Source organism: Homo sapiens, chromosome 2, assembly GCF_000001405.40.
Source record: "Homo sapiens chromosome 2, GRCh38.p14 Primary Assembly".
NCBI lineage: Eukaryota > Metazoa > Chordata > Mammalia > Primates > Hominidae > Homo > Homo sapiens.
This window is the reverse complement of record NC_000002.12, coordinates 98809241-98833024: the sequence shown is the minus strand read 5'-3', so window position 1 is coordinate 98833024 and position 23784 is coordinate 98809241. Positions and strand designations below refer to the sequence as shown.

Below are 23784 nucleotides of genomic sequence, written 5' to 3'. Positions count from 1 at the left end.
AGTCTCACAGTGGCTCTTTTATCCTAGGGAGTCGAGGGGCACGCTGGGCAGCCGGGCCCTTTCTCACGACAGTATTTTCATTCCTGAGTCCGGACAGGACGCTACTCGGCCTGTGCGGGTGTTTTCCCAAGAAAATGTGTGTGATCGGATTAAAGCTCTGCAGGTAAATGTTTCCTTGGTCATGTCGCCTGGTGTGCAAGTCAAATATCCATCAAGAAGTTTTTAAATGATTTCTGCTTGGTTTATTTGATATGCTGTAAAGTAGAATCACATGTACATGACAGCTCCCCCAGGACACACCAAATGAGCTGCAGTGGGATCTCGACTCATTCTTAGATGAACAAAGAAGAGATGGCAGTGGAAGAGCTGGTGGCAGATGCACGTTCAGTTCAGTTCTCTGCACCACACCAAGATACTGAAGGCATTTCCAGCATGAATGAATTAGAGCAGGAGGATTTGTTGATAAATATCATTGATGAAAATAAGAGCACATGTTCTTTATTCCAATCTAGTTAAAAATACAGTGTAATGTGAAAATGGGGCCACCACCTCCTCCAGGGGGGCTTCCTGCCAAGCGGGGAGAGGATGCCGGCATGAGCTCTGAGGACGACGGGCTGCCCAGGAGCCCCCCAGAGATGTCTCTGCTGCACGACGTGGGTCCTGGTACCACCATAAAGGCAAGTGCGGCCTGTACCACTGCATGTCTTCATCCACACCTGCCCTGGAGGGTGCTGGAGCTCTGAGATCCCCTGTGTGTGCCCCTAAGATCTCCAGGCTGTGCATGGTGTGGCCAACTGGGTCACTGGAGCCTACAATCAGCCCTTGAGCTGTGTTTATTTTCATTCTTTGAGTAGAAATTCAGGTCTGGTTAGGAGACGTGGTTTTGGTGACTTTTTTTAATGAGGGTGATAGGTTGATAGAATCAACCCAGAATCAACCCTGTCCCTTGACTTTCCTGTCTGAGCAGATGACCAGACCCAGAACCCCATTAGAAGTAGGGAAACACGTTGTATCTGTTTTCCGTTGCCATGACATTTGGCCGGTGGGAGGGGGAAGTAGTGAGCATGTGATAGTTGAGGCTCTGATGGTCTCCGGTGCCTGAGTTTGTGACCTTGAGGTGGTGTTGGCCTAGGGGTAGTAATGTGCTGTATTGCTGGCAAACAGGGCAGCAGGGAAAGGTTGACAAGCAAGAGAGGAACTGATGACCTCAGCAGGGTGGAGGAACCAGTCCCAAACACCACCTTCTCCATTAGAATCCAAGAGGGGGGCCCCGAGGAACTCGGAAAAGAGCACGAGCTCTTTCTCGTGCATAAACAACATAGCTCGCGATGCTGCCACATTTTAAATTCTTTATGTTATTGTGGTAAGAACACTTAATGCCCATACACTGTACTTGCACATAAATGTTAAAAATAGGTGGTCATCCTTCCCATGTAGACAAGCCTGACTGTGGAGGATGGATAGAGTTGGAGTTATCTGTTATGCTGACATTTGAAAAACAAATAAAGGCCAGAGTTTATTTTTTATAGCCACACACCTTCCCCTGTCACCTCTGGCCTGCTCGAGGGGCCATTCACAGTGAAGGGGGAGCTTCGTTGCGACTCACTGCCTTGCAGATTCTGTGCTTCTCTGAATTGTGTTCAGAAGCCACTTCAGTGTGGACACCTATACACCCTGCCACACCAAATTTTTGTGTGTAGTTGTGAGTTCCCCGAACGTCACTGATGAAAAAGGCAAAAGGACTGTGGTGTGGCTGAGTGTGTGGGGTGGGGACTGACATGAAGCCGGCTAGAGAATTATTCTCTCCAGAATTCTGCTCTGGGGCGAAGCTGTCCCTGCTCATTCCAGGAGCAGGGTCTGAGGACAGTGGGCTACCCAGGCCTGCTCTCCAGCCTCGAGCAGAAGGGAGAAAGGATGAGGAGGATGGGGTGGCCTATTTCATAGACTTCACCGAGCCAACCCTGTACCCCTTTTAACACCTCCAAATACTCCTGTGTGCAGTTTCAGCGTCCCCCTCTCAGGAGCAGATGTGACTTAGTGTATTTCTGAGCTATGCAGTAGGAAGAGGTCTGTCATGAGCTGCCTCTTTCCTCATCATAGATGGACTCCCCCTCCTCCCATCCCACAGGTCTCTGACTCTCACAGCATCCCAGTTCTCTGCCTTTAGCCAGGACGGGCAGTAAGAGGAGAGGTAGTTTCTAACCCATCCATTGAAGAGCAAGCCTATCTCCAAACCCATGTGACACTATGAGGCACAAATTCCACAGCTGGCTCGGCTGGGCCAGCCTGACTTTATCTCTCACAGCACAACCACCTCCTGTGGTTGGTCCTTTATTTAAAAAAAAAAAGTTCTGAGATTTTATCAATTATTGGGTAATATGGACAATCTACCAGCTTCATAGGAAACCAAAATTTGGGCTTTTAAGACTTAAAAACAGAAAGGTAATCTTTAGTGTCTTCATCGTTTTGAAGACACAATGATTGCATTTTGAGGCCTGAAAGTTTTTATGCATAATTGGTTGATTAAGAGGGAAAAACAACACACCCTTTAAAATGGGCTTGTAGAATATGTGGTATTTGATGTAATAGTGCCTTAAGCCCCAAAAGTATGGGCTGCAGACTGTTTATACCTTACACTGACCCACAGGCTTACACACAGGCCCACATAGACAGAAAACTTTAAGATTATTGTGGAAAAAAGAGTCTTTAGTACCAAGTATTTGATGTTATAACCAAGGTGACATTTCCTGATAGAATAAGTTTTTCAGGAAATATATGGAATAATTTTTCAAATTTTATCACCAAGTGTGATAACAACTGATGAAAGTTTACCTGGTGGTTTTTAAGATAAAATGATGTCTAACTGGTCATATTCTAGTTGTCCTGCTATGAAGCAGGACATGCCAGGTAGAGTGTGATAAACTGGCAAGGCCAATGAGTCATTTTGCTCCTTGGTGATGCGGGAAGGGAAGATGGGGAGGGAACACAGATCTGGTGGCAAATGAACAAATACATGCCCCACAGCTCCGGAGGGAGGCCTCAGGCAGGCTTATCACCTCTTAGAATCTGTGTCCTGAGAGGGTTTTGGCTCAGAGGGTTTTGGGGGGATGAGATGAGATTGGGTAGATCAGCACCTCTCCTTCCCAGCAGGACCAGCGGCTTCTTTTCACCCCTCGAACAGCCAGGCCCCCCTGCTTCCTGTCCAGTGGTCCTTCCTGCATGCACTGCCCCCAGCCCACTCCTCAGCGGCTGAGCCCCTCTTTTTGAGGACACACATCCTAAAGCACCTGTCACTCAGGGCCGCCCATGAAAAGCTTCTGACCCCAGCTGTTTCCTTTGGGTCCTTTGAGCTGCCTTCCCTGCAACAGAGAGACACATGCTAGACTTTTAAATCCTCTGCTTTCAGAATCATCCAGAATCACAGATTTTAGGAAAAATTGGGTGACTGGAAGCAAGCCATGCAGAGCTGAATGTTCTGGATGCTGCCAGCCCTCCCATGAAGCCAGCTTCCCAGCCCTCACCTCCTCCCCATGGGCCCCAAACCACCTCACGTAGTTACATCACTGATCAACAACAGACACAATTCTCCTTGGTCATGAAGATGAGGGTCTTTCTGGACCCCAAGATCTCTCAGAGCAACAGTGGAAACAGAAGTGAGAGTTCTGAGGCCAGAGGAGTTGAGTTCCCTAGTTAGGGAGAGCTTGTACCTGGGGCACAGGTCAGGGAAGTTAAGCTCCATGCCAAGGTCCCCTAACCAGGGGCCACAGTGGGCCTGAGCCCAAGACATCTGCCCAAGCAGGACAGACGCAGGGCGGCCCACAGGGAGGAGGTCCTGCTGTGCATCCTTCAGAGCCTTCAGGGTATTGGGCTTTATTCTATAAAGAGGAGTGGTCAGGGGTATTATTGTCACAGGCACCGTGATCATTCTTACTGCACTTGCAAAGCAGCTGATCTTGTCTATTCTCATGAGTCCTAGGCAGTGAGATTTTCTTTTTAACCAAATGTTTATACATTGTTCCTCTAGACAAGGGTAAATATTACAGATTCTGTATGCTTATTTTTAAATGTACACATCCTGTTTGTGACCTTTAAGGAAGACTCTCTGGGAAAGGTATCGATTTCCCAATCTAAGGTGACTTCCTGAGTTGTCAGTGACCACAGTGAGAGCCAAAGCCACAGGCACAGATGTACTTGTTGCCAGGAGACTTGCGGCTTATTTTTAACATAATTTTTATTGCTTTATTCCCGTAAGTACCTGAGTAGCTAAAAGAGAATTCAAATAGATTATGTCCACTTTTAGCCCCCTTTCCCCCATTTTAGTAATTATCTCCTCCTTGTTTACACAGATAAACTTACACTTTTATTGGAAAATAGGAGAGACCTTCACATGAACAAGAAGAGGTTGTTCCTCCCGTATCGAAGCCCATCTCACCAGTACGATCATCCTTATGGTTCCCTGTCCGGGTTAGCAAAGGCTGCTGGGCACCTGCTCTGTGTGGGGGTCCCAGGGTTATTAGAAAAGAAACAGCGGATGTGCCCATGACCCTAGGAGTTCGCCACTGGGGACGGCACTGGTGTGTTGTCTCATTGCCTCATTCACTGTTTTCATGAGGGCTTACTGAATTGTTGTGTGAATAAAACTCTATTCTTAAGTTAAATGGAAACTTGACACTAATATTGCACACCGTGCTCGAATAGAAGGCTTGCTTGAAGATCACAGAGTTATACGAAAAGCCTGTCACCTCCTAGAGTCTCCCTGTGCACCTCGCCCCTCATCTGGGCTGCATGTGCTCACAGGCGCTCCGAGTTTCATCCCAACTTGTGTCTGCAGGGGAGCCCACTTCGACCTCACTCAGTGGTGGAGCTGGCCAAGTTCGGGGGCAGGGATCTGCGGGTATTGCCTTCATTCTTTCACATGACTGCCAGCATCCCTTTGTCCCAGGTGACATGTTTGCCATTTGCTATCAGTTCTTCCGTGCTGAAGTATAAATGAGTAAAATACCTGTAACTTAACAGATGGCAATGTCCAGCCAGATTTCTTCAAAAGGATACATGAGCACACAGAGACCTTCTAGGTTGAACCAACAGGGCTCCAGTGATGGAATACTGGGCAGTGGGCTTTGCACTTCCTGCGCCCCAGCCTCTAAAGTCACACCTCTGAACCTTCCCCTCAGCTTCCAGAGACAGGACCAGGTGACTGTGCCCTTGGACAAATCAGGCTGGTGTGTTTTGAGAGAGAAAGCTCTTGTCTGAAGTGCCTGTGCCAGCCACCATGGGAGGGTGACAGGGGAGCCTGAGACACAGGTTCTCTGCATGGTCTTGGGAAAGAGTAGCTGGTTTCCAGGAGCTGGCCCCACACTTTAAACTCCCAGCCATTTACCTTTCTCCAGAAGGATCCTAGACCCCTCCTTGTTGAGAATCAAATTGAAAGTATTGGCCGGGTGCGGTGGCTCACACCTGTAATCCCAGCACTTTGGGAGGCCAAGGCGGGCGGATCACAAGGTCAGGAGTTTAAGACCAGCCTGGCCAACATGGTGAAACCCTGTCTCTACTAAAAATACAAAAATTAGCTGGGTGTGGTGGCAGGTGCCTGTAATACCAGCTACTTGGCAGGAGAATGATTGAACTCAGGTGGCAGAGGTTGCAGTGAGCAGAGATCACGCCACTGCACTCCAGCCTTGGTGACAGAACAAGACTCCATCTTGGGGGAAAAAAAAAGAAAGTATTTCCACACACGTAAAGCCAGAGACAGTGTGGGAAGACAGCCTGGGCAGAAAAGAGCATTGTTGCGTTGGTCGTCCTTATTTCACACGGTGAAGTTCATGCTCCGTGTGTTTGTTCCTTGTCCCACGAAGGTCTCTGTCGTGTCTCCAGACCACGTGAGCGACAGCACCGTCTCTGCCCGGATCTCAGACAACAGCCTGGCACCAGTGGCTGACTTCAGTTATCCTGCAGAATCCTCCTCCTGCCTGGACAACTCTGCAGCTAAGCACAAGCTCCAGGTCAAGCCCCGCAACCAGCGGTCGAGTAAGATGAGGCGGCTCTCATCGGTAATTGGGTTTCCTTCTCCACACAGAGGCAGGCCAGGCAGGCTTGGCACCCCCCTATGCCCCCCCCCAACCTGCCTCACTCCCCCACACAGGGTCTCATGCCCCCTCTGAGCACCCCACAGTTGATGGAGCCATGCTGCAGGAGCTGAAGTTGCTCATCTTTTTAAACATAAACCAGATCTGTCTCTCCCTTGCAGAAATGCTCCATTCATTCATCCATCCGTCTGTCCGTCATTCCTCACACACTCACTACTGAATACTGGTTGCCTTCCCCCTGCACTCAGAGGAAAGTCCACGCTCCAGGCCTGGCACATCAGGTCCTGCCTACCCCCCAGGCTTCTTACCTTCTTTCTCACTCAGCGTTCTGGCCACCTTTCTGCCTCTTGAGCTCAAGAGCTGCCTCTAGCCTCAGGCCTTGGTGCTGCTGTGTCCCAGCCTTGGGGCCTGAGAGTCCCCCAGAAAAACTCACCCTGCCCGTTCACTTCCTTCAGAACACTCGCCACATGCCAAAGTGACCTTTGTAAATGGATGTGCTCTTATTGCCAGTCTTCTTTGAGACCCTGTCCTGGCTGCATTTTCAGCCCTTAGAACATTTCTAGTCACAGAGTTGTTGAATGGATGAACCACTGAACAAACAAATGAGTGAATTAACAAATGAGTGAATGAAAGAAGCTGAAACACTAGCGTGGACAACTGTCTTGGATGAGGGCCTACTCAGTAGCATGGGGAGCATGCCTCGGAAAGACAGACCCCTCTTTGGGTGTGCTGCCTCAGGGTGTCGTTACCTCCTAGTCCTAGAAGCTGAGAAACTGGCTCATGGAATACTTTGGCTTCATTTACTGGCAGGTTCGAGGTTCACATAGGGTTGTTCCCTCTCCCCTACCTGACGGGCACTGTAACGCGTCCCCCCTGGAGTGGGGACCAGCCTGGCCACAGAGAATGACAGTGCTGATAAAGAGATGCTCACAGGCTAATGTCCTCTGTCCTTCCCTCATGACATGATTGTGGTGTGTTGGTGAAGTACCCAGGGCAAGCTGGGTGCCTCAGCTGGAGACAGTTGGGCTAGGGCCACTCAGGAGTTCAGCAACTCCCTGAAGAGAGTGAGTTTTCCTTTGGGCATATGGAAGGTGTTCTTTAAACTCATGCCAGCAGAGTAGACTTTTGAGGGGACTAATGCTGGAGGAAGAAGCAAAGGTGAGTTACCTTCAGGCTGATGTGCCAGCTAGGAACCAGGATACTTGTGCCTAGGTGTGTGTGTCCAGTGCATGCACAGTTAAAGGCTGTGTGCTGTGTCAGTGTGACAAGGTCCGGTCACTCAAGACCTGCCTGTACTCGTGCTGAATGAGACTACAGGGCCAGGGCCTGCTCCCTTCTGGCCCTCAAGTCTGTGATTTATGAATCCCACGGGGATGTCTTTGGCTCTGGCCAGGGCGTTTATAGCCAGCCACAACCTGGCCAGGACTTGGTGACAGAGCGAAGCGTGGTGTCTATTCCAGGTGGAAACACAGCCTCCCTTCTTGCTCCCATCTGGGCAGGGCTTATATCCTTCTTTCTTTACATTTGAACTTGACTTAGTTCTTGAATCCCACTTTGTAGAATAACAGAAAACCTGATGTAGCCAGCCTGGGCAAACAGGTAAACAGCCTTTCCTTGATTTCAACTCTGTCACATCCATGGTCTTTCCCTCTTTTCCCCTTCCCTGCTTGGTAAGGAGCGGGCATGGATATCTGAAGTTCTCAGAGGTGTCCATATTTTCCTCCATCCACTGTTGTGGAACCTATGATGCCGGGGGCCTCTGTCCTTCAGTGTCCATAGCACCCTTTGCCCGTTGGTCATGAGGTCCCTCTTCCCAACCATAAGGACCTTCCTTGTGGCCTGGCCCCTCTCAGGGATCAAGGTGCTTTCAGATGCTCCCTAAATGCTCCCAGGATGGGAAAGAACAGCCATGCTGCCCCCTCTGCTGCCTTGTGTGGGCTCTGTGACTGATAGTTTTAAAAGGTGACCTCCATCCTAAAGAGGTTTCAACATCAGCAGTTTCCTGTAGTAGCAGAAGGCCATCAACATGGCAAAGTAAAGAACCTGCAGCTTTTGAAAGTTCTTCTGTAGCTTTCTTTGTGCCTCTTCCTCTTTTTAAATCCAAAAGAATAGGATTGTGCATTTTGGCAAGAGTTTGCTTAGGTATTGTCACAAACATCCCAGGCATCCTATATTCTATTAGCAAGCAGATGCCATGAAAAATGTTAAAATAATAACAAACAGCAAGAAGAAAAACCTATTGCAAACATACCCTGTCACAGTTCCTGCTTTAGAAAAGGGGAAGGAGAGAGCAATAGCCTGGGTGACTCTTGGTGTCTAATATCACAAACTTTCTAAAAGATCAGTCTCTACACCATCAACCTTTTCGTCATTTCCACATGTTACTTTTGAATGATTCTTGGTTACCTGGAGCTCCTTTCCTTCCCGAGAGAGCAGGAACTGACTTTGTGACAATAGGAGGAAGTTGGACTGGAATCTGAATTCTAGAGGTCTTTCAGAAGAAGACTATCACAAGGCACTGTATGTTTGCCAAGCCAGTAGGGCTTCAGGAGGCCAGAGAAGGGGGGAATCTTAAACTGCATAGAGTGGGAGAGTTTGAAATAGTCCTTGGGGGCCCTGGTAGAGTATCTTGGAGGTTGGGGGCAGGGGGGTGGGGGAGAGTGGGGAGGTGACAGTCACTCAGACCAAGTGTCTGGCACAGTGTTGAGGGCTTGGTTTGACCTGAGTAGGGAGTGGAAGAAACGGCTTAAGACCAGAGAATCTAGGACTTTAAATTTAGCTGAAAATTTTGGTTTTATCCTATAAGCCATGGTTAGCTATTGGCATGATATGAGCCATCTTTTAGGAAAACCAGTCTGGCTTTACTATGAGGGTACATTCCTGAAGTGTTGACATGGGAGACTGGCTGGGAGGAACACAGAGCCATAGAGTCCCAGCTGTTCAGCTCGGCCACCTGCTTGCCCAGGCTTGAACAAGGTATTGGCCTCTCTGAGTTCCTGGCTCTCAAGTGCAAAAAGGGACTCATCATCCCTTCCTCACTGGGATGAATGGAAGATTAAATGAAATAACAAGTGTGGGAGCACAGAGCATAGCAGACACTGGCTGCTGTTGGTCGCCTTCCCTTGGCGTTACTCTAGTCCACTGGTTTTGAGGCTCTGCCAGAGGAGCTGTAGACATTTACTTTGGAGGCATATCTGCCATTGTCCTGATAAACTTGTGAGCCCAAGTAGACCAGTAGGATACAGACTGAGAAAAGACACCCGTGGGTACATGCCTACTTAAGTGCCAGCTTTATAGTGCTGCTATCACTAAACCATTATAAGCCTTGAAAAAAGTGGGGAGGTGACAGGCTTCCTGGAATTGGCTATAGCGACGATGCTTTTTATCTTTATTTCTCTCAGCGCGCTCAGTCTGAATCCCTGAGCGACCTGACGTGCACCCCAGAGGAGGAGGAAAACGAGGAGAAGCCACTTTTGGAAGTCAGCCCAGAAGAGCGCCCCAGCTCTGGGCAGCAGGACGTGGCGCCAGACAGAGGCCCTGAGCCTGGGCCACCGGCGCCCTTGCCGCCACCCGGAGGGGCCCGTGCCAGACGCGCCCGCCTGCAGCACTCCTCCGCGCTCACGGCCAGCGTGGAGGAGGGGGGCGTCCCCGGGGAGGACCCCTCAAGCCGCCCGGCCACCCCGGAGCTCGCCGAGCCCGAGTCGGCCCCCACTCTCCGCGTGGAGCCCCCGTCCCCGCCGGAGGGCCCCCCGAATCCCGGTCCCGACGGCGGAAAGCAGGATGGGGAGGCGCCCCCCGCAGGCCCGTGTGCCCCGGCCACGGACAAGGCGGAGGAGGTGGTCTGTGCTCCCGAAGACGTCGCGAGCCCGTTTCCCACCGCCATCCCTGAGGGGGACACGACTCCCCCCGAGACTGACCCCGCCGCCACCTCAGAGGCGCCCTCTGCTCGCGACGGGCCAGAACGCAGTGTCCCGAAGGAAGCGGAGCCGACGCCGCCCGTGCTCCCGGATGAGGAGAAGGGGCCCCCAGGGCCGGCGCCTGAGCCCGAGAGAGAAGCGGAGACGGAGCCCGAGAGAGGAGCGGGGACCGAGCCCGAGAGAATTGGGACCGAGCCCTCCACGGCGCCCGCCCCGAGCCCGCCGGCGCCCAAGAGCTGCCTGAAACACCGGCCCGCGGCCGCCAGCGAGGGCCCCGCCGCGTCCCCGCCGCTTGCCGCTGCGGAGTCTCCCCCGGTGGAGCCCGGCCCCGGTTCCCTCGACGCAGAGGCCGCCGCCCCGGAGCGCCCCAAGGCCGAGCGAGCCGAGGCGCCACCGGCGGGCGCCGAGAGGGCGGCGCCAGAGCGGAAGGCGGAGAGGGGCGGTGCCGAGCTGCGAGGCGCGAAGAAGTTCTCGGTGTCCTCGTGCCGAGCGCGGCCTCGTCCGGGCGTCTCCCGCCCGCTGGAACGGGCCAGCGGCCGCCTGCCCCTCGCGAGGAGCGGCCCGGTCTGGAGGAGCGAGGCGGCTCTTGACGACCTCCAGGGTCTCCCCGAGCCCCAGCACGCGAAACCTGGCCCTCGGAAGCTGGCGGAGCGCGGCCCTCAGGACTCGGGGGACAGGGCGGCCAGCCCGGCCGGGCCGCGCAAGAGCCCTCAGGAGGCGGCCGCCGCGCCCGGCACGAGAGAGCCCTGCCCAGCCGCCCAGGAGCCGGCCCCGAGTGAGGACAGAAACCCCTTCCCCGTCAAGCTCCGGTCCACCTCCCTCTCGCTCAAATACAGGGATGGCGCCTCTCAGGAGGTGAAGGGTGTGAAGAGGTACAGTGCCGAGGTCCGGTTAGAAAGGTCGCTGACCGTGCTCCCGAAGGAGGAGAAGTGTCCCCTCGGGACGGCCCCCGCCCTTCGAGGCACCAGGGCCCCCAGCGACCAAGGAAAGGGGAAGGCCCGGCCCCCCGAGCCGCTCAGCTCCAAGCCGCCCCTGCCCCGGAAGCCGCTTCTGCAGAGCTTCACGCTCCCGCACCAGCCCGCGCCCCCCGACGCCGGCCCGGGAGAGCGGGAACCCAGGAAGGAGCCCAGGACGGCGGAGAAAAGGCCGCTGCGCAGGGGAGCTGGTAAGAGCCCGCCGAGGGTGCGGGAAGGGCAGGGCCTGGGGAGATCCACATCCACGGGCACATCTTGCTGGACACTCGCCAAATGCTCCTGGTACAAACTTTGTTGCAGGGGAATTGGAAGGAGTCAGAATTCCCACTAACATCATGTCTGATCTAGAGCAAGCTTGTCCAACTCGCGGCCTGGGCCCGGGGCGGCTTTGAATGTGGCCCAACATGAATTCGTAAACTTTCTTAAAACATTGAGACTTTTTGCGAATTTTTTTTTAAGCTCATCAGCTGTCCTTAGTTTAGTGTATTTTATGTGTGGCCCAAGGCAATTCTTCCAGTGTGGCCCAGGGAAGCCAAAAGATTGGACACCCCTAATCTAGAGTAAGGAATAGGCCGACCTCGGTAGCTCATGCCTGTAATCCCAGCACTTTGGGAGGCCAAGGCCTGCTGATAAGCCCAGGAGTTCAACACCAACCTGGGCAACATAGTGAGACGTCGTTCTACAAACAATTTTAAAACTGGCCAGGCGTGGTAATGAGGGCCTGTAGTCCCAGCTACTTGCGAGGCTGAAATAGGATTGCTTGAGCCCAGGAGTTCAAGGCTGCAGTGAACTATGATGGTGCCATGCACTCCAGCCTGGGTGACAGAGTGAGACCCTGTCTGTTTTAAAAAGAGAGAGATAAAATAAGGAATAAAGAGTAGAAAAGGGAAAATAAATACCAGGATTTTGCATAAGTACAGAGAAGTCAGTGTGTAAACATGAGATAAAGAGAAACGTAAAAACTGATTTTGATAGGACTCTCAGCGAATCCCTCAAATTCTTCTCCCACTTTTGACCTAAGAAACTCAGCAAAGTCCAAATCCCAGGACATGTGTACTCATTTTGATGCAGGTTCTTTCAGGGCCTAAGCTATTTCTTGGCTATAAATGAAACATACTCCTCTATTAGGGTCCTTCTGACCTTTTCCTCCAAGAAAGAATTTCCTCCTGCTTCATAATCAGGTTCACGTGGCTCAGCTGCAACATGGAAAGTATTCCATATATTGGAATCACAAGTCTGTATAAAACGTAAGTCTCTCAAGAGGGTCAGCATTTACTTGCTGTCCTGAAAGGGAGATTGGGTTAACATTGAGGCAGAACGTAAGAATATTTGAAAGCAGCTGTCTTTTGAAATGAGCAGAGACAAAGTAGATGACCTTTCTCTGTCTTTGACATTTGTCACTTCTTATAGTGTTTCAGATGAAATGAGAAATCTGTTGAAAATGTGTATTTGCAGCAGAGCTAAAGAATCTTTCATTGCTGGGTTTTTTGTTGTTTTTGTTGTTGTTTGTTTTTGAGACTCCGTCTCACTCTGTTGCCCAGGCTGGAATGCAGTGGTACGATCTTGGCTCACTGCAACCTCCACCTGCCGGGTTCAAGTGATTCTCCTGCCTCAGCCTCCCAAGTAGCTGGGATTACAGGCACACACGATACTACACCCGGCTAATTTTTTTATATTTTTGGTAGAGACGAGGTTTCACCATGTTGGCCAGGCTGGTCTCGAGCTCCTGACCTCAAGTGATCTGCCCGCCTCAGCCTCCCAAAGTGCTGGGATTACAGACATGAGCCACCATGCCTGACCTGCTGGTTTTTTAAATTAATGGAAATCTGTGAACCAGAAAATGAAACTACACAAATAAGTTGTGTGTGCATGTGATGGGGGCCCTAGGGAGAAGTTTTCCATGACAAATTTTGTTTTTTAAAAATGTTTTGGCCCGGCGTGGTGGCTCACACTTGTAATCCCAGCACTTTGGGACGCCGAGGCAGGCGGATCACAAGGTCAGGAGTTCAAGACCAGCCTGGCCAACGTGGTGAAACCCCATCTCTACTAAAAATACAAAAATTAGCCAGGCATGGTGGCGCGCACCTCTAATCCCAGCTACTCAGGAGGCTGAGCCAGGAGAATCGCTTGAACCCAGGAGGCGGAGGTTGCAGTGAGCCGAGATCACGCCACTGCACTCCAGCCTGGGTGACAGAGCGAGACTCCATCTCAAAAAAAAAAAAAAAAAAAAAAGAATGTTTCAGGCTACTCAAGCAGTGTATTGTGGGACAGAGAGGAAATAGAACCCAGTAGCTTTCTTAGGGAATCCTGCACCCTAAGAGGAAGATGCATACATAGGAAGAAAATTAGCTCATACAAAACAATGTGAAAACAGTTCCAAAATAGTCTAATCTTTTCTGGCTCTTTTACAGTGCTTTAAATTCCTAACGTGACACACAAGGATTCACAGTTCCAAAGAGCCCACACATGTGGCCTTCCCAATCTGAAGGCCCCTTGGCACAGCCGTGATTTTGTGTTGCTGCTGCCACTGCAGTAGGATAATCAGTGCGGAATCTGGAGGAAGTTCAAACCATCACTGACGATCCACTCTGCAGATTTCCATTGAGGTTATTGAAGCTATTGTAGAGTGATTCAAAAAGCCATTGAAGTAGCAAGGGAGGAAGGAGTTGCTCTCTGTGCACATGAAACCCTGACCTTCATGGCCTAGAATTGAAAATGTCTCTCAAGAGCTTGCTAAATGAATGGAACTTAAAAACAGAATATCAAGCTCGTAGTCAGATCTGAAAAAGAAGCTTCAGAGGGCAATGCTTTGCCCATTATTTATATGTAAGTTTCTCAACCTAAGCCAGGCTTTCTTCACTATAAAATGCCTGGGATAATCTGTAAATACTTTGTGTATTTTTCTTTGATTTATAAAATGTAATAGAGTATTTTTTTTATTAACAGCTTTGCTTATATAGTAGAAGAGAATTGTCTCATCCATCTAAGTTTAATCACATTCACTAAAGCCATAGAAATGTCAGAGTTAGATGAATTTCAAAACGAAAGAAGAATCTAGGTTACTTTATGGGTATGGTTAATGATATTCATTTTAACACAGAGAGAGGGAAGGAATTACCCACATTCTATAGGGAAGCAACTCTGGGGGCAGGGGCAGTGGTATTGGAAGGACAGGTACCAGGACAGGCTGGGCCTGCTGCCTGATCCTACCTGGACCTTGAGGGGCTATCTCATGCTGACCAGAGCAGAATCTCAGGGTCTGCGCTGTCAGACCCCAGCAGTGAAGCTGCCCCCACACTTTCCCTAGATGCCAAATCTGTTTGTGCTTTCATTGATTATTATCACTTCTACTATTATCATTCTCATTGCTCCCAAATTACATTAGCTAGAAGCAATTCAGTTCACATAAAACATACAGATAATGAAAGTTTTAATAACAATATCACTCTGTTTCCAGAAAGACCTAATATTTGCTGTTGTGGTGGCAAATACCTTGCCCAGAGCTCCCAGATAGTCTGCCACCTCCCCCGTCCTCCCTCCAGGGCATGTACAGTAAAGTTGGATGATTGAAGTGTTCCAGATGACTCGGCTTTGGGCACTCAAACTGCTTTGTCCCCAGCACCTGGTTTATTCCTCCTCCTCTCTTCCACACCTTGTTTTCCTTCTTTGAAGGAATGGAGGGACGCTTCAGCAGAAGGAGTAGGAAAGGATGCAATGGTGGTTGGTTGTAATAAACAGGAGCCTGGGTTGCCAAAGGGGCTGAGCCTCACAGGGGCTGTGCTGGAGTGGTTACTGCAAGCTTAGTATGTGTCTGTGCTCCTCGAGGCAGAGGAGCCCTGTTTATAAGCCTGGTTCATAATTTGCTGATCTGTCGTAGGAAGTAAATGGCCCAGGGTTATCAGCCTTGTTCATTTGTGCAGAACATTATGCATCCTCCTGTTGGTTCAATCCATCCCAGAGTCTAAATTACAGGTCATAAAGCAGCTTCTGCACGCAGGATTAGAATGAGAACAAAGGAGTTAGAGAATATTGTGTGGAAAAATTGCAAAACACAGAAAGTATGTAGAAAAAAAAATCACTCCTAGGTCAGCTCTCCTTCTAGTCTGTCTTGTTTCTGGGTATGAGATTTATTTTTTTTACAAAGTCATGGTCACATGTTGGTGTTTTGGAAGGTAGTGCAAGAAACCACCCTTCTCACCTGGGGACCTCATTTGATAACCAGCATTGGCTAATCTGAGCTTGATTCCTCCAGACAGGGTTGGTGACAGAGTAACACACTCCAGTCTCTGACCCTCTGTTTCTAGACTCCAGTACTCACTCATTCATGCATTCTTTTTTTCAACAAATATTTAATGTCCTCCTGCCATGCAAGCTCTTTCTTGGCCCCAAAAGATGGGAAGAGCACAGGGGACTGACCCTCAGAGTTTATTGCACAGAGAAGGCAGGTGGTAGCTGGATGCTGGAGGAGTGTAGACAGCCATTTTCTGGCCACCTTGTCTTTGTATGTCACAGCCATTTTCTGAAGGAAATGAACTGAAAGAGACTGTCGTCCTTTTTTAATGACACAGTTCAGATATATTCAAATTCATTTGGGTTAGAATACAAGCTGTGGGGGGTTTTATTGGCATCATGCTAAAAATATATTCCTGTCTCTTGAATTTTTAAAATTTCATTTTATTGTGATATGAACACATAACATGAGATTGACCCTCTTAAATTTTAAAATGTACAATGCAGTATTGTTGTCTATAGGTACAGTGTTATAGAGCAGATCTCTAGAACGTACTCTTCTTAACATAACTGAAACTTTATAAACATTGATGAATAGCCCCCAATTTCCCTCTCCCCCGCCCAGCTCCTCATGACCACCTTTCCGCTCTTCAATTGTATGAATTTGACTATTTTAGATTTCACATAGAAATGTGATCATGTAATACTTGTCCTTCTGTGACTAGCTGATTTCACTTAGCATAATGTCCTCAAGGTTCATTCATGTTGCTGCAAGTACAGAATTCCCTTCCTTTTTAAGGCTGAATAATATTCCACTGTAGGTATACACTGCATTTGCTTTATCCATTTGTTTGTCCAAACACATTTAGGCTGTTTCCGCATCTTGGCTGTTGTGAATAGTGCCTCAGTGAACAGGGGGTGTTAATATCTCTGAGATTCCGATTTCAGTTATTTTGGGTATATACCCACATATGTCTTGAATTCTTAAAGAAAACCAACTTTGCTCACATTGGCATTTCTTTTTGTCTTGCCCTTCCCTTCACAGTCCCTTCTGAGCAAGTGTCATCAACACTGTAACCTCTGTTTCCCTGCCTCTTTCCTCTGCTCCTCAACCATGTGTGTCTTAACCTTGCATGTCACCCAGTACAAAGCGACCTCTCCTCATTTCCCCTCGTGCAAGACACATCACAGATTCCCACCTGTTTCCTGGAGTTCTTGCTTCCCTTGACTTCTTGGGCCACAGCAATCAGCCACCTACCCATCTGATGAGCAGCCCTGACTTGACACTTCAGCATTCATAATTCCATTTGTCAATGCCACCTCCAGCACAGTTCTCTTTCCTTCTCAGTACTCCATCTACCCAGATACTCAAGCCAGAAACCTCAGCATTATTACAGATATCTTTATATGAACAATCCTGAGTGGCCTAAAAATGATAGTAAAATCACCTCGTAATCCTACCACTTTAAAAGTGACATAAAAAGGGACTTGCTGTTCTGACCAAGATGGAATAAACACCACCCCATCTCTCCCACTGATACGTCATAAAACCCTAAACTGAATGCATAAAGTGAGTATCAGGGGACTCTGAAAGGTAGGTAAGAGGAGGAGCTGGTAGCCTGAGGAGATAGATCAGGACCTGAGTGTTGACTCCATAGCAAGTGTGAGCAGTGAAGTAACACCTCTGCGCTCTGCCACTGGTGGTATCAACAACCCCTGCAGGCCAGAGCTCCTGGGACTTTCCTAGCCCAGATCCTACTGCACCCCCCCACCACCAGCCCCTATGGGACAGAGCTTGTTGGACAGCCTTGGCCCTACTCCAAGTGAACACCAGCAACTAAGCAGCAAATCCCTCTTGGCGGCAGCATCCCTGCAGGATGGAGTTCTTTCTATTCTCTCATCCCTATGCCAGGCAAATGCCAACAACAAGCTGAAACTACTTGCCCTGGTGGCAGTGGCAGTAATGTCCCTTGTGAGGCACAACTCTTGATTCTTTCAGTCCTAATCTTTGGTCATCAGTGAAGTGGCCAACCCCTCACCCCTGCTGAAGATGGTAGCAGTACCCTCTGCAGGGCAACGGTCCTTTAGCCCTTCCAGCCCTGCTCCAAGTATGCACCAGCCTAGAGCACTCCAAGTGAGTACCTGCCTCTCCCCACAGCAGCTCCTATGGGTCAGAGCTCTTTTGACTCTTTAGACATTACCCCCAGAGAAACCCAAAAATGAAGCTATACCCCCGTATTAGCACAGACAGCAGCAACAGGTATGGTGGTTGGGGGTCCTGCAGGCTCCTTTCCCTTGCCACTCTGTCCTGAGGTGGTCCCAGTCACAAGAAGGTGCTACAGTGCAGAGAGGCTAAACCTTGGCTTTCTAGCCGTAGAACCTTGAGGAGTGGAGATTACAGAAAGGAGACATCTGAGTTAGATATCCTTTAAATGTGTGTATGAAGTTCTGGGCTCATCCCTGAGCTGCACATGCATAAAACTGACTAGAATGAGCACAGCAAAACCTTTTGAGAATTTTAGAAGGACCAAGTCTCAGCATAATATTCAAAATCTGTAGGATATGAACCAAAATTATCCAACATACAAAGAACCAGGAAAGCCTAAAAAATTCTCGAGGAAAAAGGCAATCAACAAATGCCAACCCTGAGAGGATTCAAATGTTAGAATTATTAGACAAAGACTTTAAAGCAACTATTATGCCACATTCTAAGAAGTAAAAATGAGTACTCTTGGAATTAATGGAAAGATAGAAATTCTCTGTAAAAAAAAAATAGAAGCTATAAAGATAGAAATTTTAGAGTTGGAAAAGCTGGAGTGGCTATATATTCATATAACACAAAGAAGACTTCAGAAAAAGGACAATTATTAGTGATAAAATGGAACATTATATAATGATAATTTCAGTAATATTGGTGAATCAAGAATGCATAAGAGTACTAAATGTGTGTGTCCCTAACAACAGAGCTTCAAAATACATGAAGCAAAAACTTGGTAGTACTGAAAGGAAAAATAAATAAATCCATAGTAAGATGTAGAGACTTTAGCACTCCTCTGTCAGTAGTCAAGAAAAGTAGCAGGTAGAAAATCAGAAAGGATATTTCAATTAGGTCAAGTTGGTTGAACATCATCATCAACCAACTTGACCTAATTGATATTTATAGAACAGCCCACCAGCCACAGCAGAATACATGTTCTTTTCAAGTGCACATGGGACATTCATGAAGATAGACCATATTCTAGGTCACTAAACAGCCCTTATTAAATTCGAAAGAATTGAAATTATTCAAAGCTTGTTCTCTGCCCTTAATGAATTAAATAAGAGTTTGATAACATCTGAAAAATATCTGGAAAGAAATATGAAAAAGATCATCAAATATTTGAAATTAAACACTACACCACTATATAATCCATGGATCAAAGAGGATGTCTCAAGGGAAATTAGAACACTGGATTAAAATGAAAATACAACATATCAAAATTTGTGGAATGCAGATAAACTGGTACTTAGGGAAACTCAACATTAAATTATATTAGAAAGAAAAAATGTTTCAAAGCAGTAATTTAAGCTTCCACTTTAAGGAACTAGAAAAAGAAAAGCAAACTAAACTCAAAGCAAGAAGGAAAGAAATAATAAACATAAGAGCAAACATAAATGAAAATATAAAAATAATAGAAAAAAAATTGATGAAACCAAAAGATGGTTCTTCAAAATAGCCAATAAAGTTGATTTAAAAACTGAGGGGAAAAAAGACACAAATTACAAACATTATGGAGTGCCACTACTGACTCCATAGGCATTAAAATGATAATAAGGGAATACTATGAACAATTCTACGCACATAAATTTGACAAATGAGAAGAAAAGGGCCAATTCCTTGAAAGACACAAACTATCAAACTTAAAAAATAGCATGAATGGTCCTGTATCTGTTAAAGTGATCAAATCTGTAGGTAAAAACCTTCCAGAAAACTCCATTTTCACGTGGTTTGACTGGTGATTTCTACCAAGCATTTAAAGAAGAAATAACACCAATTATACAAAATCTCAGCAAAACTAAGGGGAAACACTTCCCAACCCGTTTTATGAGGCCAGCATGATTGTAATACTGGAATTAAAGACAATACAGAAAACTATAGACTCTCTGTATACTATACTAAATTCAGAGATACTATATTTTCTCATATTTTTTTCTAAAATTTTTATAGTTTTCATTTTACATTTAAGTCCATGACACCTTTTGAGTTCATTTTGTATATGATGTGAGACTTAGGTCAAGGTTCATACTTTTGCCTATGAATGTTCCTATGCTTCAGGACCATTTGGTTGTGATGTACAATTTAGTATACTATAGTATCTCTGAATTTAGATGCAAAATTTTTTTTTAAGACAGAGTCTTGCTCTTGTTGCCCAAGCTGGAGTGCAATGGCTCAATCTTGGCTCACTGCAACCTCCATCTGCCAGGTTCAAGCAATTCTCCTGCCTCAGCCTCCCAAGTAGCTAGGATTACAGGCACCCACCACCACACCTGACCAATTTTTTGTATTTTTAGTGAAGACAGGGTTTCACCATGTTGGTCAAGCTGGTCTCAAACTCCTGACCTCAGGTGATCCACCTGCCTCAGCCTCCCAAAGTGCTGGGATTACAGGCATGAGCCACTGTGCCTGCCCTAGATGCAAAATTCTTAACAAAATATTATCAAATTGTACATCACAACCAAATGGTCCTGAAGCATAGGAATATTCATAGGCAAAAGTATGAACCTTGACCTAAGTCTTACATCATATACAAAATTAACTCAAAAGGGGTCATGGACTTAAATGTAAAATGAAAACTATAAAACTTTTAGAAAAAAATATGAGAAAATATTTGGGATATAGGGCTAGGCAAAGACATCTTAGACTTGTCATCAAAGCATCCAAAGTGGAAAATTTGATGAATTGGACATTATTAAAATTAATACCTTTTGCTTTGCAAAAGACCTATTTAAGAGCCTGAAAAGACAAACTACAAACTGCAAGAAAAGATAGGCAAACTACATATCCTATAAAGGACCAGTATTTAGAATATATAAAGTATTCTTTAAAGTCAATAGTAAAAAAAAAAACAAAAAAACAGCAAACCAATTAGAAAACGGGCAAAAGACATGAACAGACATTTCACCAGAGAAAGTGTACAGATGGCAAATAAGCACCTGAAAATATGCTTACCATCATTAGCCATTAGGGAAACACAAAACCATAATGAGATACCATTACGTAACTATTAAAATGACCAAAACAAAAAATATTAATAATACCATTGTGCTTGTGAGGATGTGGAGAAAATGCAATTCTCATTAGAGTATTATCTCTATGGCCAATGGGAATGCAAATGGCACAGTCACTTTGGAAAACAGTTTGGCAATTTCTTATAAAATTAAAAATATGCTTATGACCCAGCAATTCCACTTTAGGTATTTATCCTAGATAAATGGAAATGTACATTCCCACAAAAGTCATACGTTCATGTCTACAACAGCATTATTCAAAATCACCAAAAACCAGCCAGGTGCGGTGGCTCACGCCTGTAATCCCAGCACTTTGGGAGGCCAAGGTGGGTGGATCACTTGAGTCCAGGAGTTCAAGACCAGCATGGCCAACATGGTGAAACCCCATGTATACTAAAAATAAAAAATTAACTGAGTGCGGTGGTGCACACCTGTAGTCCCAGCAACTTGGGAGGCTGAGGCAGGAGAATCGCTTGAACCCAGGAGGTGGAGGTTGCAGTGAGCAGAGATTGTGCCACTGCAACTCCAGCCTGGGTGACAGAGCAACACTGTCTCAAAAGTAAAAATACAAATGACATAATCACCCAAAACTGGAAACAACCCACATGTAACTCAGCTGGTGAATGGGAAACAAACTGTGGTACATCCATATGATTAAAAACTACTTAGCCATCAAAAGGAATGGACCCTCAATATACACAGTAACCTTAATTGTGCATGCTCAGTGAATAAAGCCAGTCTTTCAAAATTGCAAACTGAATTATTCCATTTCTATGACATTTGGAAGAGGCAAAAATATATGGACAGAGAACAAATAGATCAGTAGTTGCCAGGGGTTGGGAGTAGGAGGAGAGTCTGGTTACATAGGGGAAGGAAGAAGGAATTCTTCAGGGTGTTGATATTCTGTATCCTGTTTGTGACGGTTGTTATAAGAAGCTAAACGTGTTAAAATTCAGAACTGTACAACCAAAGGGTGAATTTTACTATCTATAAATGTAAGAATAATTTTCTTTTTTTTTTTTTTTTTTTTTTTGAGACAGAGTCTCGCTCTGTCACCAGGCTGGAGTGCTGGAGTGCAGTGGCATGATCTTGGCTCGCTGCAGCCTCCGCCTCCCAGATTCAAGCAATTCTCCTGCCTCAGCCTCCCGAGTAGCTGGGACTACAGGCACACCACCATGCCTAGCTAATTTTTTTGTATTTTTAGGAGAGACAGGGTTTCACCATGTTGGCCAGGATGGTCTCTATCTCCTGACCTCGTGATCCGCCCACCTCAGCCTCCCAAAGTGCTGGGATTGCAGGCATGAGCCACCATGCCCGGCCAGAATAATTTTCAAATACAAAAAAAAAGGGATAGTGGCCTCCTGCCCACCCCTTTCTGAACCTCTTTAATCCCACTCCCCAGGGGGAACCGCACCACCAGATTCATCGTGTTTCCCTTGAACACTGCAGTCATAACCACAACAAGATGGGCATGCATATCTAGGCACGTGGATCCTTTTATTTTAATCACAAAAATGCTGTACATCTTGGCTTGCACTTTCACTCCACAGTAAAGCATGGGCATCTTTTTTTTTTTTTTATATCAGAGTGAACTGCCTCGCGTCTTTCTTTTTAAGGGTTACACTGTATGTGTTCTGTGTTTTATTTAACTGTTCCCCTCCTGAGGGGCATTCCGCTTGTTTGAGCTTTTCTCCCTCTTGCTGACAGTGCTGCAGTAATCATTCTTGTCCATTTTAATCCCTATGTATTTACACGGTTGTTTCTCTATGATAGATTCCTAAAAGTGGATTTTCAGGTTCTCAGATCATGTGCACTTTTAATAGACAACTTTAAATTACCCTCCATAAAGGTTGTGCTGGTTTACACTTCTTCCAGCAGAATAGAGACTATTTCTCCACCCCCTCATCAACACTAAGTGTCGTCAGTGTTTTTTTTCCTCCAGTCTGATGGATGAAAAATGCCAGTTGTGATGTTCACCTTGGTCAGCAAGTTCTGGTCATCCTAATGTGCAGCGTCTTTATCCTCCCACGTCCCCATGCCAGCCTCATCTTTAACCTGACACCTACAGTACCTCCTCCCTCCAACTCTCTTCTTACCCTTTCTTCCCAGGTCGTGGGTGGAACCATGGAGCTTTCCTCTTTAAAAATTCGCATTGCCTTCCCATTATATTTAGAATAAAATTCAGACTCCTAGAGAAGGCATTTAAGGCTTTTTAGATTCTGGCCAAAACAAACATTTCTGCCTCTCTAAGTTTGTCTGCCATTTCACTCCCTCCAACATCTCCTGCAGCCCCGCCCCTGATACCAGCTCCCTGGCACTCTGTACACACCCCTGCCCATATTGAGCGTACTTCACTCGACCCCTGAACTAGATCCTGAGCCCTTGAGAACTTCCAGGGTTTTTCTTCCTCTGTTGAGCACCCATACCCATGCCCTGGGGTTCCTAGCCTGCAGTGGGTGATCCTTGGACCAGGCTGTGTCTGCATGACCAGGTGCTGGGATGAGGGAGGGAGCAAGGCAGGGGCTGGGTGGTAAGACTGAAGAGTGTGGATCTGTGGGGTTTACTCTGAGGAGCACCTCTTAGGGGCTGTGGGATTCTGAGCAAGTTGAGTCTTGTAAACTCTGAGTCTTAATTTCCTCCTTTATATAATGAGGTTATTTGTAATAACAGCAAATAGGGCAGCAAAGACATTTTAACTGCAAAATGTGATACAGTTTCATAGAGTACAGTCATACTTTCCTAAACATGTACTAAAATATTCTCATCTCAGCTGCACAGAATGCTGTATGAGAATGGGATTCTCCTTGTCCCAGTTTTGGTTAAGGCACCAATGCAGAGATGTAAGATACCAGAGAGCATGTTTGCAGGATCTGTGGAGTCAACAACCACTCACCACCCCCACCCTCAGAATATACGGACGGTGGGGAGGAATAAAGCGGATTTGCAAAACACTTTCTGTGGAGAGCACACTGCAGTCCTGTGAGCCACCAGCGCAGAGGAAACTTCCCTCATGCAGAGTCTGCAAGGGTGGCTTCCATGGGACTTCTTAGAAGCTGAACAGATGTGCCCTGCAGTTGGGAGACATGAAGGACTGCTGCTGGACTCAGACCACCTGTGGGCATGGGGCAGACAGGACCACCACATGACCCACTTGTGCTCCCAGAGCCCCACATGGGGAGCCAGCCAAGAGGACAAGGGGACAATGAGAAGCGGTCACAACCAGAGTCCCAGTGGTGGCTGGGAATCCCCCAGTGTCAGTTTCAAGTGTCTGCCAGGCCCAGGCAGGACAAAACCTTGTAAGGCTCCAAA

The 23784-nt window shown here is 47.2% G+C and overlaps 1 protein-coding gene across 11 annotated transcripts in view; it reads left to right on the top strand.

Annotated features, from left to right (window-relative positions):
* The window catches only part of CRACDL (CRACD like), a 142380-nt gene that overhangs the window by 103201 nt on the left and 15395 nt on the right, over nt 1-23784 (top strand). For 9 of the 11 annotated variants that reach the window (NM_207362.3, XM_005263926.4, XM_017003972.2 and 6 more), the window contains 4 exons: nt 28-163; nt 513-677; nt 5856-6050; nt 9488-11168. In NM_207362.3, coding sequence (NP_997245.2) covers nt 28-163; nt 513-677; nt 5856-6050; nt 9488-11168 — 2177 coding nt within the window. Of the gene's footprint in view, nt 1-27; nt 164-512; nt 678-710; nt 4435-5855; nt 6051-9487; nt 11169-23784 lie in introns of those variants that run through there. The other 2 variants (XM_011511096.1, XM_047444123.1) reach the window with 2 other exon arrangements.